Genomic DNA, 18,189 nt, shown 5'->3' with positions numbered 1-18,189 from the left:
TGGTTGTCATTACAAAATTTTTTCCTAGTCAAGCATGTGCATACAAATACATACACATACACAAATGTTTTAGAAAAATTCAAAAAATGTATTTGTTTTGTAACCTGTTTTCTCATTTAGTAACTGGGATGATGACCTTTTCCATATCCATAAATATTTGGCTATGTCATCATATTGAACCTTGCAAAGGATTTTACTGTATGAATGCACCATTATATATGTAATAATTCCCTTTTAAATTAAGAGCTATTTAATTAAATTCATATATAAATTTCATTAATTTCTAAATTTAAAGCATATACAAGTTTCATTACATTTGAAAACAATCAGTAGGTTGGGGTTTTGCATTTCTCAAGCAATTCCCTCATATTGAATATTTAAGTTGTTTCTGTTTTGTTTTATCAATCATAAATGATGCTATATATAACATTTTTCCACCTATATCTTTGTATCTTTTTCCAATTTCTTTGTTAGTATAATTTCCTTGAATTTAAGCCTGTGGGTCATTGTCTTTGCACATTTTAAAGACTTTTATGTATTGTCAAATTATCCTTCAGAAAGTTTGGAACAATTTAATTTCAGTAGATAAGTATTCTTTGGTGATTCTGTTTGACTAAGGCCAAAAGGAGAATTGTATTTGTAATGTCAAGCTAAGTTACCAAATGGCTAAGGGAAATGTTGCTCCACCTGGTTGCTTTGCTTTACATTTCAATCTTTGCAGCGTTAAAGTCTTTATTATATTTATGTTATAGGTAGCGTTATTATGAATTAATTAGTAATTGCTGATAATAGCTGAGTGATTGAGCATAATTTCTAATTTACCTGAAGATAAAGCTTTGCTAACACTGCGTTTCCTCTTTGTTTTCTGGATGATGATTTATTTTATTAATTTAGCTTCTCATCTTCAAGTGAAATGTGGATTTTATAGCACAGATCATTCATTTGTGTATTCTTAAATGGCTTCTAAGGATTAACGTGTTCTAAATACAGTTGACGGTAAAGCACTCAGTCTCCTGCCTAAATTATTCATGTTCGGGGGAAGCTTTCAGATAAATGTCTGATTTTACTCTTCCATGTGAGTTGTTGTCTTAGTACTTTTTACACAAAGGAAACAAAGCAGAAAATGTTGAAACTTGGTGAAGACAAATCCCAGGTGCACACAAATAAAGAAGGGTAGGGGGAAAGGAGACGCATTTGGGAAGAGGAGCAGAAAGGAACAGACGCCAGATGGAAGAACTCAATGGAAAAGGCTGCCTAGGGTGTAGAAATGGAAAAGTCAAAATGTGGGGAGAGACCTTTCCATTTCTCAAGGCAAAAAGAATTCCAGTACTAGCATGAGTCACATGAAAACGAAGTGTTTTTCATTAGTCACTGCATCCAATTTTTTCTACCAGAAATATTAAGAATTGTTGACTACAACAGTATGGAAAAGCAATAGATTCCAGTGTGTATTTCATGCCAAAAGTCTCAGCATTCTGCATGTGGAAATAAACATATGGCTAAACACTGCCTTTTCTCAAAATTGCCATCAAACTATCCTCTGTTTTGTGGCTCTCAAAAGTAAGTAGCCAGATTTTTATTCAAGACTGCTTTGTAGTTCACAATAGGTTTATTGTACTTTTTCAATGGAATTGTTAGAATCATCAATTACACTTCTAGATATTCTGACATGGTACGCTGCTGTTCTTTTTCAGGTCCCATTTGGAAGCCAGTTCTGACCAGTGGAAGCGTCTGCACCTTTCTCTGCAGGAACTTCTGGTGTGGCTACAGCTGAAAGATGATGAATTAAGCCGGCAGGCACCTATTGGAGGCGACTTTCCAGCAGTTCAGAAGCAGAACGATGTACATAGGGTAGGACATTTTTAAGCCTCGTGCCTTGCACATGTTAAGCACATAGTAATCCAGTGACTATTTTAAAATTAATTTTGTTTGAAATTAAGTTGAATAGAAATCTTTTTTACTCTTCTCACCCAAGGGTCAATTATAAATAATCTAAGCCATTACACTGTAAATGTCAAACACATTTGTGTTAATAATACCCTTTAAGAAATCGTCCATCTCTTTTGGCTATATAAAAAAAAGCTTTTCATGATGAAAAATATTGAACATATACAAAAGTAGACAGAATGCTATAATAAAACTCGTACTCATCAAGACATCAACAATTATCAAATCACGTCAGATCTTATTTATTCTATAGCTCTTCCCAGATTGTTTTAAAACAAATATCAGGCGTGTGTTATTTTATTGTTAATATTTCAAAAGGTTAAAAGATAGGATTCACTCTTTTAAGGTAATCACCTTGCTACTATAATGCTTTTGAAATATCAATAATTTCATCATATCAAATATCCAGTCCATATTCAAATTTCCATTTTTCTCATACATATTATGCATTTTTTAAACTTTTTCTGGTTTTGGTTTAAATAAAAATTGAAATCAGACCCACACCTTACTTTGGTTAGTTGGTCTTTTTATTACTTTTTGTTTGGAAGTAATTACAGATTCACAGTAAGTTTCTAAAATAGAATAGTTTCCCTGTATCTTTCACCCTGTTTCTTTTCATCATTATATGTCATGCAACTGTAGTACAATTCTTATTGTCATTTCAACATGCAATCAATAGAAAAAATGTACATTTACAGCACATCTCAATTCAGGCTCATTACATTCCAAGTACTCAGTAGCCAGATGTTGCCAGTAGCTACCGATTGAACAGTGCAGTTCTATAGTTTGATTGTATTTGGGTTTGGCTTTTTTTGGCAAGACTGCTTCACAGGTGTTCGTGTATTCTTCCATCATCAGGAGGTGGTATATAATGCCTTGTTTTCTCTTTTTGTGTGATGTTTAATAGCTGTTCACGATCAGTGGCTAGGGGTTGCAGTGTGATAATTGCCTATCTCTACCATTCCTTCTTCATTTATTCACTGGGGTAGGTCTATGAAAAAAATGTTTTGCACTTGTCTCCTATTTTGGTACTCAGTATACCTTTCATACCGAACAAGCAAAATACGTTTCAATTTTACCAATTTTTATAATAACAACTTGTTCACTAGCATCCTCCAACGATGACCAATTATTTCTTTGTTTGTTTGTTTTATTTTTATTTACATTTCTATCTTCTCTACTAAGCTCTGAGTGAAAAAGGCAGAGATTTTGTCTTGTTCACCTCCAAGACCCTAGAGTCTAGTAAAGTGTCTGGTGTAGAGTGGATACTGATAAGTGTTTTGGAAATGAGAATAAAAGATACAAGAACAGAAATGAATAGCAAACCAAACAAATTACTACCAAATAATAAAAACTTGATAAAATGGTACCACTTTTGTATGTTGAGCATGTAAAGGAAAGATCTCTGTGGAGATACAGCCAAAGGTGGCATCTTGAGGAAAGGTCAAGGGTTTATATTATTCTGGAGAAGAGGATATAGGAAATTATAAAAAGGGAAGAGAACATGAAAGAAGACCCAGGGATCTTTGCAAAAAAAAAAAAAAATGCCAGGGAAACTGCCAGTTTCTCCTTTAGCCATTTGCCTTCATATATTTCTGAATATTAAATTAGCTTTTGTGGTAGGGTGAAATGTAATGGTGCTATGTGTTTTAAATGTTCTGACTTTGAATAAACAGCCAAAACACTCTGGTGTACATATAGAAAAGCACTCATTGAGAAGGATGGGCCTTTTTTAAAAAATGCATTATGCGATATAGTGAAATGAGACAGAATTTCTACAAAAGATGAATTTTATGCTAGTTCCAGAAACCAAAGAAAATGAATCACTGGACATGTGCACTAGGAGTCAGGAGACTGAGATTCTAGTCATATTTCTTCATAAGATGGATTCTGATTGCTATTTTGTTCTTCAACTGTAATATGAGGAAATTGGTCCAAATAATTGCTGTGGTTTCTTCCAGCCAGTATTTTGTTATAAATACTGCTTCACTATTCCTGGTTATTAGTTTTGGTTGCTTGTTAAGAGTGGTAAAATGTCTGTACTTAACGCAGTCCTTACTCAGGAATCTCATGACAAAGAACATGACTTGGGGAGATGGTGATGCTAGAGTTATGAGTGATACTCACCAGAATGAAGTTAATCCGTCCCCACTTGGTTAGTGTGCTTGCTCAGATAGCTACCTGTTAACCTTTCGTGAATTTCACAGGACTTCCAGCCCATTGATTACTCTGTGTTTTATACATTAGTTCCTCTGCCCTTCCATATTTACCTCCTTCCAAATACAACTTAGATTCAATCATCTAAATTTTAATAACTTGTTTTCAAAAGTCTGAAACCCTTTGCTTCTTTATCTTTTTGTTGCTGCAATCTACAAAACTCCAAAACTCTAGCTAAATATTCCGAGACTCTAACTAAATATTTTCTCATACCAGACAACAATGTAGTTGTCTGGTACAGTACCTTTTCCGGATGACCAGCCTTCAGCCTTCCACTACCAAGACATCACTGGGTCAATTTTTTTTTTTTTTTTTTTTTGAGACTGGGTCTTGCTCTGTCACCAGGCTGGAGTTGCAATGGCACAATCTTGGCTCACTGCAACCTCCGCCTCCTGGTTCAAGCAATTCTCCCGCCTCAGCCTCCCGAGTAGCTGGGACTACAGGCACGCGCCACCATGCCCACCTAATGTTTGTATTTTTAGTAGAGACAGGGTTTCACCGTGTTGGCCAGATGGTCTCGATCTCTTGACCTCGTGATCTGCCTGTCTTGGCCTCCCAAAGTGCTGGGATTACAGGCGTGAGCCACCGCACCTGGCCAATTTACCTTCAAAATTGTTTTTGACTGTCTACTATTGTTATCATCATAATTATAGAAGACCATTTCTCCTAACCTTTCTGCATCTACTCTTGCCACCCTACAATGCAATCTCTACATTTCAGTCAGAATAATCTGTGTAAAAAACATAAATCCAATTATATCAGTCCTTATCTTAACACTATAGTAGTCTTCTCAGTGCTCTTGGAAAAAGACCAAAATCCTCAACAAGGGTGACAAGGCACTATCTGGCTTGTCTGGCCTCAGCCTCCTCTTTCCTAGATGCTCTTCCCTTGCTGTTTGGATGCCAGCCATACTGCCTCCATTTACTTTTTCCAATTCTGCGTGTCCCTCTTATGTGGGGCTTTAAATATGTTGGTCCTCTGTCTCAAACCCTTTTACCTATACCCACCCACTCATAATATCCTGGTTATCATCTAATAATCCTTTACATCTTGGCTCGGACATTGTGCAAACTTTTCCCTGTTGTCTACATTTGACCAGATCTTTCTTTACACACTTCTAAAATTGTCTACTTTTCTATAACATAGCGTTGTTTGTCATCACGTACATGTGTTACTATTTGATAAATATCGACTACTCTTGCTAAACCATGTCCTTCAAGAAGATTTTTGGGAGGGGGAAAGCTGTCATTTTTCTACTCAGCACATTCCAAAGTGCCTAGTATACAGTAGACACTGGTTAGATAAAGGAAGGCTATTGAGACCAAGAGCAGGGAAAGAAAGAATAGAGTGGTATTCCCTTCTTATTTACAGGAGTTTTCTGTTTATTTCTAATTAAGCATCTTTTTGTAAAGTGTGTAGAGCTACTTTGATGCACAGGTTTTTTTTTATTATTATACTTTACATTCTGGGATACATGTGCAGAAAGTGCAGGTTTGTTACATAGGTATACATGTGCCATGGTGGTTTGCCACACCCATCAACCCGTCATCTACATTAGGTATTTCTCCTAATGCTATCCCTCCCCTAGCCCCCCACCCCCTGACAGGCCCCAGTGTGTGATGTTCCCCTCCCTGTGTCCATATGTTTTCATTGTTTATCTCCCACTTATGAGTGAGACCATGCAGTGTTTGGTTTTCGGTTCCTCTGTTAGTTTGCTGAGAATGATGGTTTCCAGCTTCATCCATGTCCCTGCAAAGGACATGATCTCATCCTTTTTTATGGCTTCACAGTATTCCATGGTGTACATGTGCCACATTTTCTTAATCCAGTATATCATTGATGGGCATTTGGGTTGGTTCCACGCCTTTGCTATTGTGAATGGTGCTTCAATAAACATACGACATACAGCTTTTACTTGTAGTTTGGCGCAATGCTTTTTCAAGCTTCTCTTGGTATCTTTAAGAAAAATTCTTGACACAAAACACTCTCCTTCCTCAAACAACATCATCGCTCCTGAGTGCTGATGAGAGAACAGTTTAGTAGCCTGTTTGACTCAAAGTTTTGTCACATGTATGTGGTAGCCCTTTCATATATGGACTGTCTAGTTAGTGATGCTCTTGAAGCCTATGGGCAAAAGAACAATGGAAAATCCTTGAAACTGGATCTGCGTATCAGATCTCCTGAACTCAGTTAGAAAAAGAGAAAAAGAACAGAATCAGTACAAAATTCCATCAAGATCTAATAGTTGACAGATCTTATATTTGTGGACTTTTGTTTTACTTTGCCATGTTTCCAGAATTGTACATTGTATTGCTCTTTATGGGTTTCTTGATTTAATTGTTGTTTGTATAGAATCCTTGGTATCAAGATGGGTCACTGTAATTGTAAACTTATTCCGCAAGTATTTAGAGTGCCACTTTTTTAAAAAGTCATCTGCTTACTCTCTATTCTAAATTATTAATATCCTTTGCTGATGCTTTTTATGGGGATACAAATCCCATTAAAATGTCAATAGTTGAAACTAAAATCAAATGTTGTTCATTTTCACTTTCATTTTCTATAAATCAGGATGTTTACAAAACAGGTAATTTGTGTTTTTCTTTGTATACCATTTCAGATTAGTGATAATATTTTGTAGCAAAATATTACATATCTTGTACTCTTTTCTTGTAGAGAAAATATACAGTCAATATCAATTGCTGTCATGGAGAGATATATGGTTCTTCTGTAGGTAAAATTCCAAGATACTCCACAGACATATTTGGGGACCATAGTCTCACTCCTCAAAGCAATTTTCACACCCATGGGAGTAGATCTGTGCTCCCCAAACCAGCTGGGCAGCATAACAACTGCAACTGAATGGCTCTCAAGACTAATTAATAAAATAATGCTCCAGATGCGGTGAAGTGTTATAAATAATTAAAGCTCAAATATGCCTTAGCAAATATAAACTGACCAATTTTTATGTCTTTTGAATACATTATCCTGGCTTTTACAGTTCCTCATTACTTGCCTCACTAGACTGACTCGTTTTCAATTAGTGGGTGTTATTCTGGTCCAGATATATTTTAAAAACTGACTTCCTTTGTTTTACTTGAGCAGTCACTAAAGTGATATTTATTACTTGTCTACTTCTGTGATTAACCTAGAGAGAGTTTTAAAGGAGCAAATCATAGTGGGGAATTTCTAAGGAGAACTGCAATAAAACATCAGCTTATTCAACTCCCTTCCTCCTACCCCAAATCCAAATGGAGATTAGATCTTGATTGTAACAACAGTGTAGGTAATGACTTTTTGTTTGCCTTTTTACTAATGAAATTGTTTGTCACTAGGTTTTCATCTTTCAATTAAAAAAATCTCTATAATCCCTTCCCTAGAGATCATTAAGGATACCTTCAAAGCTTCCCGAGATTTTCTGGTTAAGATTTAGATGGAAGTAATCAATACATACATTATTAAAAGAGTGGACAGAAAGCCATTATTGCTTGGATGCTGTTGACAAATGAAAAGGCTTGAATAAAGTAGTTTACTTGTTCATTTGTCAGGTCATATATTATGCATGTTCGATTTCTTCAGAAGTCACCACAAAGTGAGAGACAGGCTGAGAAATTCAATAAAATTATCCTGAAATCATGTTGTAGATTATACATTTATTTAGGCTCATTCTGTTATCAGTGCTGGCCTGCTTACGTGGGATACATTTTAGTATGTATGTTAGCTTGACGAGTTTTCTGTGTTTTCTTTTTACAGAAAGAGAAAATATCTTTGGATGTCATTTGTGAATGTTAAGATTTAAGTCAGCTCTGTGTTAAGAAAAATGCGTTGTTCCCTATCACCTCTGAAAAACAACCAAAAGTTGCGATAGAGTGATTCATTCTTTTTTCTTTTCTTTTTATTTATTTTTTCTTTAATTTTTTTTTGAGATGGAGTCTCGCCTGCAGCCCAGGCTGGAGTGCAGCGGTGCGATCTCGGCTCACCGCAAGCTCCACCTCCTGGGTTCACGCCATTCTCCTTCTCCTGCCTCAGCTGGGACTACAGGCACCCACCACCACACCTGGCTAATGTTTTGTATTTTTAGTAGAGACGGGGTTTCACCGTGTTAGCCAGGATGGTCTCGATCTCCTGACCTCGTGATCCACCCGCCTCAGCCTCCCAAAGTGCTGGGATTACAGGCGTGAGCCACCGCGCCCGGCCAGAGTGATTCATTCTAACATTCAATGACCTGGCCTCTTAGAGTTTCTAAACCACTTGACTGTTAGTTATATCTACTCTAAGGTGTCTTTTTAGCCGCGTTGGAGGAAATAGACGTCTTTTTGATCTATTCTTCATCATTTTTGTATAAGTTTGATATCCTATGCAGTCATATTTAGGGATGCTGAATAGAAATGACTTAAAAATTATTTTTAGAACTGCATTTCTAGGCATTTGAGTCTTCTGAAAACTAAGTCTAAGTCTTCTGAAAACTAGCTTTATCATCAAAACTGAAGAACTGAGTCATCTAGGAATTGCTGCTTTGCTTTAATGACTGTAACAAGATGAGATGTGAATAATTTACAAACTGACTTCTCTACCAGTCTTCTCTCTCACTTTGTCAAAATATTTTGATGTCCTGACAAATACTCTTTAAAACAGTATCTGCATAGTGTTTTGCCTTGACAAAGCACTTTTACACACATTATTCATTTAATTACAAATGATCCCCTTGATTTTTTTCTGTGCTCTTCCTTTTGTCCCCCAAAAACATTATTTTAGGAAAAATTATACCATAACTCAGATTCCTAGAATTTATTGGTTCTTTCAAGAACTTTTTTTATGAAGAGCCTACTCTATGTTAAGCATATGTTAGGGAACAAAATGAGTCTCTGCCCCTATGGATGTTTAGATTTTAGTGACAGAAATACATAGTAAACCCATAAATTAATATATGAAATTATGTTGGGTAGTAAGTGCTATGAAGAGAAAATAAACAAAGCATGAATAGAGAAAGATTGAGGAGTACTGGCCTATGTGAGGAGGTTATTTTGGGGTAAAGACTTGTGTGAGGCCGGGTGCAGTGGCTCATGCCTGTAATCCCAGCACTTTGGGTGGCTGAAACAGGCAGATCCCTGGACGTCAAGAGTTCGAAACCAGCCTGGCCAACATAGTGAAACTACGTTTCTACCAAAAACTAGCTGGGCGTGGTGACACGTGCCTGTAGTCCCAGCTACCCAGGAGGCTGAGGTACCAGAATCGCTTGAACTTGGGAGGCGGAGGTTGAAGTGAACCAAGATTGTGCCACTGCACTCTAGCCTGGGTGGCAGAGTGAGACCCTGTCTCAAAAAAACAAACAAACAAAACCTGTGTGAGTGAGTAAACCATGCAAAAACCTTGAATGAAGAGGATTCTAGGCAGAAGAAGCACCAAATTCAAAAGCCCAATGGTAAGAACAGGTTTTGAGTGTTGTAGAAATAGCAAGATGAGCTGTGTATCTCAAGGGAAATAAGATCAGTAGACAGTGATAGGTTCTAGAAAGAGGGAAAGGCCAGATAATGAATGGTCTTGCAGGCCATAGTTTGGAGGTGGATTTTATTCTGTGAGTAAAGAGACATCACTGGAAGTAAGGAAACATCACTGGAAGGCTCTCAGCAGGGATGATGTGATCTGATTTATGTGTTTAGAAGTTGACTCTTGCTGCTATGGAGAATTGACTATAAAAAGAGCGAAACTGAAGACACAGAAAAGGAGGGTGGTGGAGTCATCTCAGAAGGAAATGATTACTTGGACTAGAGTGGAAATGATAGGTATGGTGAATAATTATTTGATCGAAGATATATTTGGAGGGTAGAATTGATAGAACTTAAGATAGATAGAATGTGGAGTTTGAGAGGAAGCAAAGAGTCAAGGAAAATTCTGAGGTCAATGGCTTGAACAAATAAAATAATGATGTTGCCATCTGAGAAAGACTTGGGAATGATCACGTTTGAGTGTATGTGCTTAGAATGAACCAGGGTTCCATTTTTGGATTATGTTGATAGACAGACACAAAGGGTATGATTCAGATATTATTTACCACTTATACTTGACAATCTCAAATTTTGGCTCAGTATCTTGAGAACATACACAAATTAATTTGTCACAGGGTTTTCTAATAATCCATTCATTTCTACTAACATTTCAGAAGTAATTTCCAAATCTTAAAGTTTAGGCTTAATGACCTAAGACCTAATTCCCTAAATGGCCACGGGAACTAGATTGAGTTTTCACCAGTGATCTCTCAAGGTCAGCTCAGAACTTAACAACATTATTGTCAGTAGGAAGTAACTTCCCCAGTGATTGTTGGAAGCAGCCCAGCCTTAGAATTAAGAGTCAAACAGCTGTTCAAGATGCTGTGTGCGCAGTAAACTATTCCTCCATAGTATCACAGACCTGCAAGCAGGCTGGACTATTCTAGCCCGTGCCCTTGATCTCAGAGAATACAATCTTTGTTTTCAAAGACTTCCAGAAAAATAAATCTCAACACAGAGTTTGTTAAACACATTTTCCCCTTATACACTCAAAAATGTTTTTTCATTGACTATAATTAGATTTTTAAAAAAAAAACATAATTTCAGGCCTGAAATATGTTCATTTACTTTTCAATTTTACATCAAATTTATTCAATCTCATTTATAAATTAATATTGTTGTTCATGTTGTTGACTATCTGAAACAATGAATGGATGTATCTGATACTTCAATCCCTTATCTTCACTTTTATTCAGAAGTGGAGTGAAAATAAGGCGGAGCTTTTTGTCATCTTATTTAGATGATTATTTAGTCAAACTCATAGAAGCAGAGAGTAGAAAAATGGTTGCCATACATTGTAAGGGCGAGTTGTTGCTCAATGGATATAAAGTTTCAGTTATGCAAGATGAAAAAGTTCTAGAGGTCTGCTGCATAACATTGTGCCTATAGTTAACAATACCGATTTGTGCACTTAAAAATGTGTTAACCGAGGTCCGGAGATCAAGACCATCCTGGCTAACACGGTGAAACCCCATCTCTACTAAAAATACAAAAAAAGAAAAAATTAGCCGGGCATGGTAGCAGGCACCTGTAGTCCCAGCTACTCGGGAGGCTGAGGCAGGAGAATGGCGTGAACCTGGGAGACGGAGCTTGCAGTGAGCCGAGATCGCGCACCACTGCACTCCAGCCTGAGTGACAGAGCGAGACTCCGTCTCAAAAAAAAAAAAAAATGTGTTAACAGGGTAAAGTTCATATTAAGTGTTCTTATCTCAATAAGAAAAGATGATTATGGCCTTTTCTTTATAGCCCAGATACCCATGTTCATAACTTCTGTAATACTAGCTGTCTCAAATGACTATTAAGGGAAACCTCTCTTTCTGTTGTTTGCTCCATTGCCTCTTTCTTCAAATTTTTTTCTTCCATGAACCCCTATGAATTTGCTTTAGATTACTGGGGGCAATATTCTTGCCACCCTGCCATGTACATCCTGGATTGCTTGCCCTTTTCCAAGACCTCGCTTTTAAGTTAACTGAGCATTGCTTGTCCCGAAGTGAGCATTTGGTAAAATATTCTTATGTGTTTGAGACTCAATAAATATGGTGGCTCTTTAAATAAAGAAGGTCCTTTTGGTGACAGAATATATTCAGCAACTTTCTTGTCAGACATAGAAACAATACAGGAGACATAAAAAATAAGGTAGAAATAACACAGGAACAAGAATGATGACGTAGGATGGCAAAACTAGTAAATACAGATCAAGTTACAGATATGACTGTTAACATCTTGTTCTATGCCTGCTCGGTATCCATTTGTTGAATGAACAGAACTGTTGGATCATCCTACATTTCAGAGCCTGTCTAGTGTCCTCTCATCTCCTACCTAATCCTGCAGACTACAGAAAAAGCCCCAAGCAGCAGTTCAAACCATGGAACTTCTGAGTGTTTGGACATGAAAATCTCCTTTAAGAAATCACTAGGTTGAAGAAGGCAATGCTAATGGGACCACTTCTTGAGGAAATTCCACCCAGTAACTCAGCAGTGACACTCAGCTTTGGATCTGGAACATGAGTAGACCTAGAATAAGATCTGTCCATTTTTCCCAATTTACAGCATTAATTTTTTCACTTATGATTCATGAGTCCAGGCTTTCCCCTGCAAGCCTGTTTTGCATCTAAATCAACTTGGCCTTCATATAACACACTCTAGTGTTCTAACTGGGTGTTCTGTATCTTAGTCAACAATGTTTACTGAGCATTTACTATATGCCAAGCTATGGCTATGGTTTTTAAGCATCGATAATAACGATGCTTAGCAGAGACTCTCAAACTGCCACCATAGAGCAGGCCTGTGGCCGATTAATGATCTTAACAAATTGATTATAGTATATGAGAACTGGATGTTAGAACTTAGATAAGGTTTTAGCAAATGCCCACATTTTACAAATGAGGACACAGAGGAGCAGGAAGAGTTTATCACCTTTTCTGGATCACTGCAGCCAGGTTCTGGCCCAGCCCAGGCTTGAAGCCCAAGGCTTCTGCCACTCAGAACAGTGCTCTTTTCACCACTTCAGCCTGCCTCCCAGGATGATTCTAGGAAGTTCTGCTTACAAATATGGGTAGTATTTCTAGTCATTCCATCAGATTTTATTCTGAAAAACACAAATTTACCATTTCAATATGAATACAGGTAAAATTCAGCGCCAGGCAAGCTGTACATGATTGAAAGACATCTGTGTTTTGAAAAGCACGGGCTTTTACTCACATCCATAGTAATATGATCCTAAATCCACTGTCCCCAGGAGAAAGCAAGATAGCTTTTCTCCCTGTCATGTCATTACCTATGCCCAGAGTTCTCCTCTTGTTCCTCTCATGAAGCAAATCAATATCTCACCTTTCATCCCCTCCATACGTGGTTCTGAGCTACTTCTATTTATGGCATTATTTAGATATTTTTATAATATAAGCAGGAAGCAAGAGGGACAGAAAAAAATAATCAGTGGCCAGGTGTGGTGGCTCACACTTGTAATCCCAGCACTTTGCGAGGCCGAGGCAAACGGATCACCTGAGGTCAGGAGTTTGAGACCAGCTTGCCCAACATAGTGAAACCCCGTCTCTACTAAAAATACAAAAAATTAGCAGGGTGTGGTGGCGCGTGCCTGTAGTCCCATCTACTCAGGAGGCTGAGGCAGGAGAATCACTTGAACCCAGGAGGCAGAGGTTGCAGTAAGCCGAGATCGTGCCACTGCACTCCAGACTGGGTGACAGAGCGAGACTCCGTCTCAAAAATAAATAAATAAATAAATAAAAATAATAATAATCAATAACTTGGTTCTTCTCTATTACTTTCAGGAATTTTTTAAGTTTCTGATTTCTTCCATGGCCATTAGGATTTTCCACTTATGTGGCTTCCAAATTATTCTAAGTCAGGGAGATTTTATGTTTTGTTATCACTCACTTTCAGCTTCACTTTAGAATTGCAAGATTTAGATTCAAAGTGTGTAATTAACTGATGGCCTTAGGTAAACCCTAACTTATCTGTATCTCAATTTGCATGGATGAAACATTCATAATATAAAAGTATACACCACAAATATACCTACTCAACCAAACTATTGGCTCCTTAATGACAAAGATTAAGTCTCTATATCTTTCCTAACTTTGTACCTAATAGGTTCAAAATAAATATTTTTTGAATGAACAAATTAGTGAGTCAACAATCAGTCACCCGGTTGGCCAGTACCTATGGTGTTTTAAGTGCAATCTACCAGATAATTCAACCTTCATAATAAATAGATTTATCTTGAGATTATCATTGCTATAATAGTGTAGTAGCATACTTCATATAAGTTTATTTTGTGAACCTTAAGAAGCTCAAGGACAAACATCTGTGTAGTATTCCTAACATTTTCTAAATTGCATATTTTATTTTCATAGAGGTGCTCTACGTCTTTAGTATTGCTTCTAATTCTCTCATATCACTATTTTGGACCCTTGGGTCTGGCTGTCTTGGAAAGGTGAAAAGAAAGGTATGGGGAAGAGGATGTGTTTTAACAAAGATAATTTTATCTGTTCAAGGGATTCAGGAAGTAATTATCTTAACATCTGAATGCTAACATCTGAATATTGTAAATACGTATTCTGTATGTACATGGGAGAAAATATCTATATCTGATACCTTTTCTATCATCACATAAAGGAACTGACTTCTCTGGTTTAAAATATTAACCAAAATTTATATGACAAAATCAGTATATATGAGTATATATTTTCTCAAACCTCTTTCAAACAGGCCTTTTTGGGAGACAAGACACTTATCAAAATCAAGGCTCTTGACATTAAATATTCTTGTTTGTCTTTTTTTAAAAAAAAGTCTTCATTTTTCTTTCTTTTAAAATGCAATAAATTATACTACAACATGCAGTTTATGGTGAGTTATTAGATACTGAAAAATTGGCTTTCCATTATTTTAATGCAGATTCTACATTGCTTTTTTTTTACTACATAAAGCCATTTGTTTTAAGCTCCATGCTACAAAGACCACAGATGTTCATTGCCTAGAACAGTGTCTGATACATAGTAGTTGCTTGAAGTTTGTTAAGTGACTAAATTAAAGAGGATCTTACATATAACCATGTTTAAAATTACATATTGTTATTTATAGTTTTTCCCACATGATAAGAATTATTGCCATTTTCTTTAACCTCTGACCTCCTTGAACCAACTATTTCTCTCTTTTTGTGGGAGTTTTATCCTTTTGTATTTAATCTGAATCTTTTGAAATTCTAAAGATACAATCACTTAACCCTCTCTTCCATCCACTTTCTTTTCTTAATTTCAGGCAACAATGTGAAAATAATGGTGCTTATGTCTTTGTAATAACAGAACTTTCTTTGTCTTTTCTTTGGCCTCATTTTAATCTTCAATGACTCATATTTAAGAAATGAACTGTGCAGCTGTGGTGGATCTAAGTCCTTGGCAACAACTCGATGGGCAAACACGTGGTCTCTCACAATGGATGCTCCTTAGCTTTGAATTATTTACTGTCCAGTTTTAACAATGGAATTATATCATCAAATAGTGCCTTGGACTTTTTAAGTTTTTAGTGCCTTAAGTTTTTAAGTTTGATGAGACCTTTAAGATCCATTTCCGGCCGGGCGTGGTGGCTCACGCCTGTAATCCCAGCACTTTGGGAGGCCAAGGCGGGCAGATCACGAGGTTGGGAGATGGAGACCATCCTGGCTAACACGGTGAAACCCCGTCTCTACTAAAAATACAAAAAATTAGCTGGGCGTGGTGGCGGGCGCCTGTAGTCCCAGCTACTCGGGAGGCTGAGGCAGGAGAATGGCATGAACCTGGGAGGTGGAGCTTGCAGTGAGCCGAGATTGCGCCACTGCACTCCAGCCTGGGCGACAGAGCGAGACTCCATCTCAAAAAAAAAAAAAAAAAAAAAAAAGATCCATTTCCTTATTTTACAGACCTTGTTCCAACAATTATCTCCACCTTCTGTCAAGGTCGTAACATATATCTAGGGTGACCAACTTTCCTCGTTTTCCTGAGACTGTCCAATTTTCCTGAAACTATTCTGGTTTTAACATCGAAAGTCTCTCATCCTGAAAAACTCAATGCTGGACAAACCAAGATGGTTGGTTACCCTACTGCTAGCTTCCGTCTTTCACTCTAGGTTCAAATCATTCCTATGCTAAAAAGAACTTCTTATCCCTTTGTCTTGTTATCCTCTCTGTCCTCCTGTCGTGTCTTCCTCTTTTCCTTCTCAGAAAAAGAAAATTGAACATTTGATTTTCACTTGAAATACCTACTCCTTCTTCCACTCACTCCTCAGCTATGCCTACTTCTGAGGCTTCTGCCCTCCACTGAAATTGCTCTCAGCACATCTAGTGAACACTCTGCAATGCTGATCTTACTTTACTTCTGTGTTTCATTGGACTCACTTGGTCACCCTCTTCCTCTCAAAATTCTCACTCTCTCCTTGAAATTTCTACACTCCTCATTTCCCCTAATCTCTCCACCTATTTGTTCCTTTTCTATCTCTCAAGAGATCCTGTTCCTCTGTTTGCCCATTAAACTTTGATATGTAGGCACTCAACGTATATTAGCTGAATGAGAAAATAACTCCTAAGTATTTTTTTTCTCCTCAAACCTCAGAATTTATTATTTCCTTGTGGAAGGAATGTTAGCTTTCCAAGCTGAGCATATCACAGTCCCTTACTCTGTCCCCCATGCACAGAACACCCCCCCCACACACACACACACACACCATCATGTTGCATTTTTAATATTACTCTTCAATAATTTTATCCTGAATGAGCATGAGGGGTTCTGAATCAGAGGCAGATTTCATTTAATTACCTTACAGTAAATATTGTTGCTGTGCCCTTCCTTTGCCCAAAGACTTACCCCTAGGGCAACATGATGAACGCTGATGAAACATTTTCCTACTTGAGTGGCTGGGTACTCCATAAGTGGGAGACTAGGAAAAATCATTTTTTCTGCTTATAAAGGAGAAGGAGGCTGCTATCCATCTCTCATTCTGAAAGGTTCTCTGTGGAAACATAACAGGCCTGAGTCCTAATTCCAGCTTCTGCAGAAACCAGCTAGCCCTGTGTGTCTCATGTTTTACAATCTGGAAATGTCTCCAAGGTATGGGCTTCATATTTTTTGAAATGTAAATACCTAGAAAGATACCCACTCCAGTCTTTCTAACAACATAGAGTTCAGCTTAGGAACCTACCCTGAGCTATAACCGTTTGACCCTCTTGGATCAGAGAAATGAACTAGACAAATTGCTACAGATCTAATCTCCATGGTGTGGGAAGTTTCTCAGGAGGCTAGAGCTTTCTGTAGGTGAACTGAGACATCCAGGAAAGTTTATTTCCTCATACTTAGTTGAATTGCACCCAGCGTTTGCTCATCTACTCAACCTAGACACTAAGTGTCATTCTTGTTTCTTTTTCTCTCTTCTCTCCAGCATCTATTCAGTCACCAAATTTTCACACTTCAGATTTTTAGACATTTCCCTATCCTATCCCTGTCATTTTTCCTGGTACCATTGCCCTGAGTCAAATCCTCATAATCTTGCACTGAATTCTTACAATTGCCTCATTATCTCTCTGATTCCATTTCTGTTCTTCTCAAATACATACTCTGTATTTATATCAGGAAGATCTATTTGAAGCACACATATTCCTGTGCCACTCCCTTGGTTAAAACCGTTCAAAGGTTCCTGATTACCTTCAAGGCAACACCTAAGCCTCTTAGTGGACCATATGTGATCATAGAGAGGCAGAGCTTCAAATTCTGGTTTAAAAATCTAATGTATTTCCAGATAGCAATAGTGTCTTTTTCATCTTTGGACATGCCCTCTCCTTGTTCTTTATGCTCTAGAAACACTGGCCTGCTTGAGATTCCGATACATACCATACTGCACTATGTCCTATGACTCTGCACTTGCATTTTCCTCTTCTTGGAATGTTCTCTAGCATACTCTTCCTTGAATAAGTCATGTTCATGCTTTTGAATTCTATGTGATTACTAGCTTCTCCTGGAAGCTTTTCCCGATTTTCTTCCCCATATTGCGCAAGTCTATAGCACTGTCTACATTGTATTGAAATTATTTACGTGTCTGACTCTTCTATTATATGTTAAATATTCCTAAATAGAAAGGGCTGTTTTGCATTCAACTTTGTATTTCCAGTTTCAGGTACAACCACTGACACATGGTAGTTCAATAGAGGGAGCCATTATTATTTTTATAATTAGTAATGTCAGTATTAATTGCCTCCCTTCAGGTCCAAACAGAGAAACTAGGCAAAATGATAATTTACTTGAATTTGGGAAACTTAATTGTATGAAAAAAAACACAAGAATACAACAACTGAACACACACACACACACACACACACACACACACACACACACACAAACATGGAGATTTCAAGTGAAATATCAGGAGAATCAGCTTTATATGTAAGCAGAGTAAATAACTCACGTATCTAGCATGATTTTAGGGTACAGAAATATCCCATT

The 18,189-nt window shown here is 37.4% G+C and overlaps 1 protein-coding gene across 21 annotated transcripts in view; it reads left to right on the top strand.

The window, feature by feature from the left end:
• DMD (dystrophin) overlaps positions 1–18,189 on the top strand; it is a 2,220,167-nt gene that overhangs the window by 1,840,750 nt on the left and 361,228 nt on the right. For all 21 annotated transcript variants that reach the window (XM_006724469.4, NM_000109.4, XM_011545467.2 and 18 more), the window contains 1 exon segment: positions 1,695–1,851. In XM_006724469.4, coding sequence (XP_006724532.1) covers positions 1,695–1,851 — 157 coding nt within the window.

The sequence above is a fragment of the Homo sapiens genome, chromosome X (genome assembly GCF_000001405.40).
Source record: "Homo sapiens chromosome X, GRCh38.p14 Primary Assembly".
Classification (NCBI taxonomy): Eukaryota; Metazoa; Chordata; class Mammalia; order Primates; family Hominidae; genus Homo; species Homo sapiens.
The sequence above is the reverse complement of the archived record's forward strand: the minus strand, read 5'-3'. Positions and strand labels throughout refer to the sequence as shown.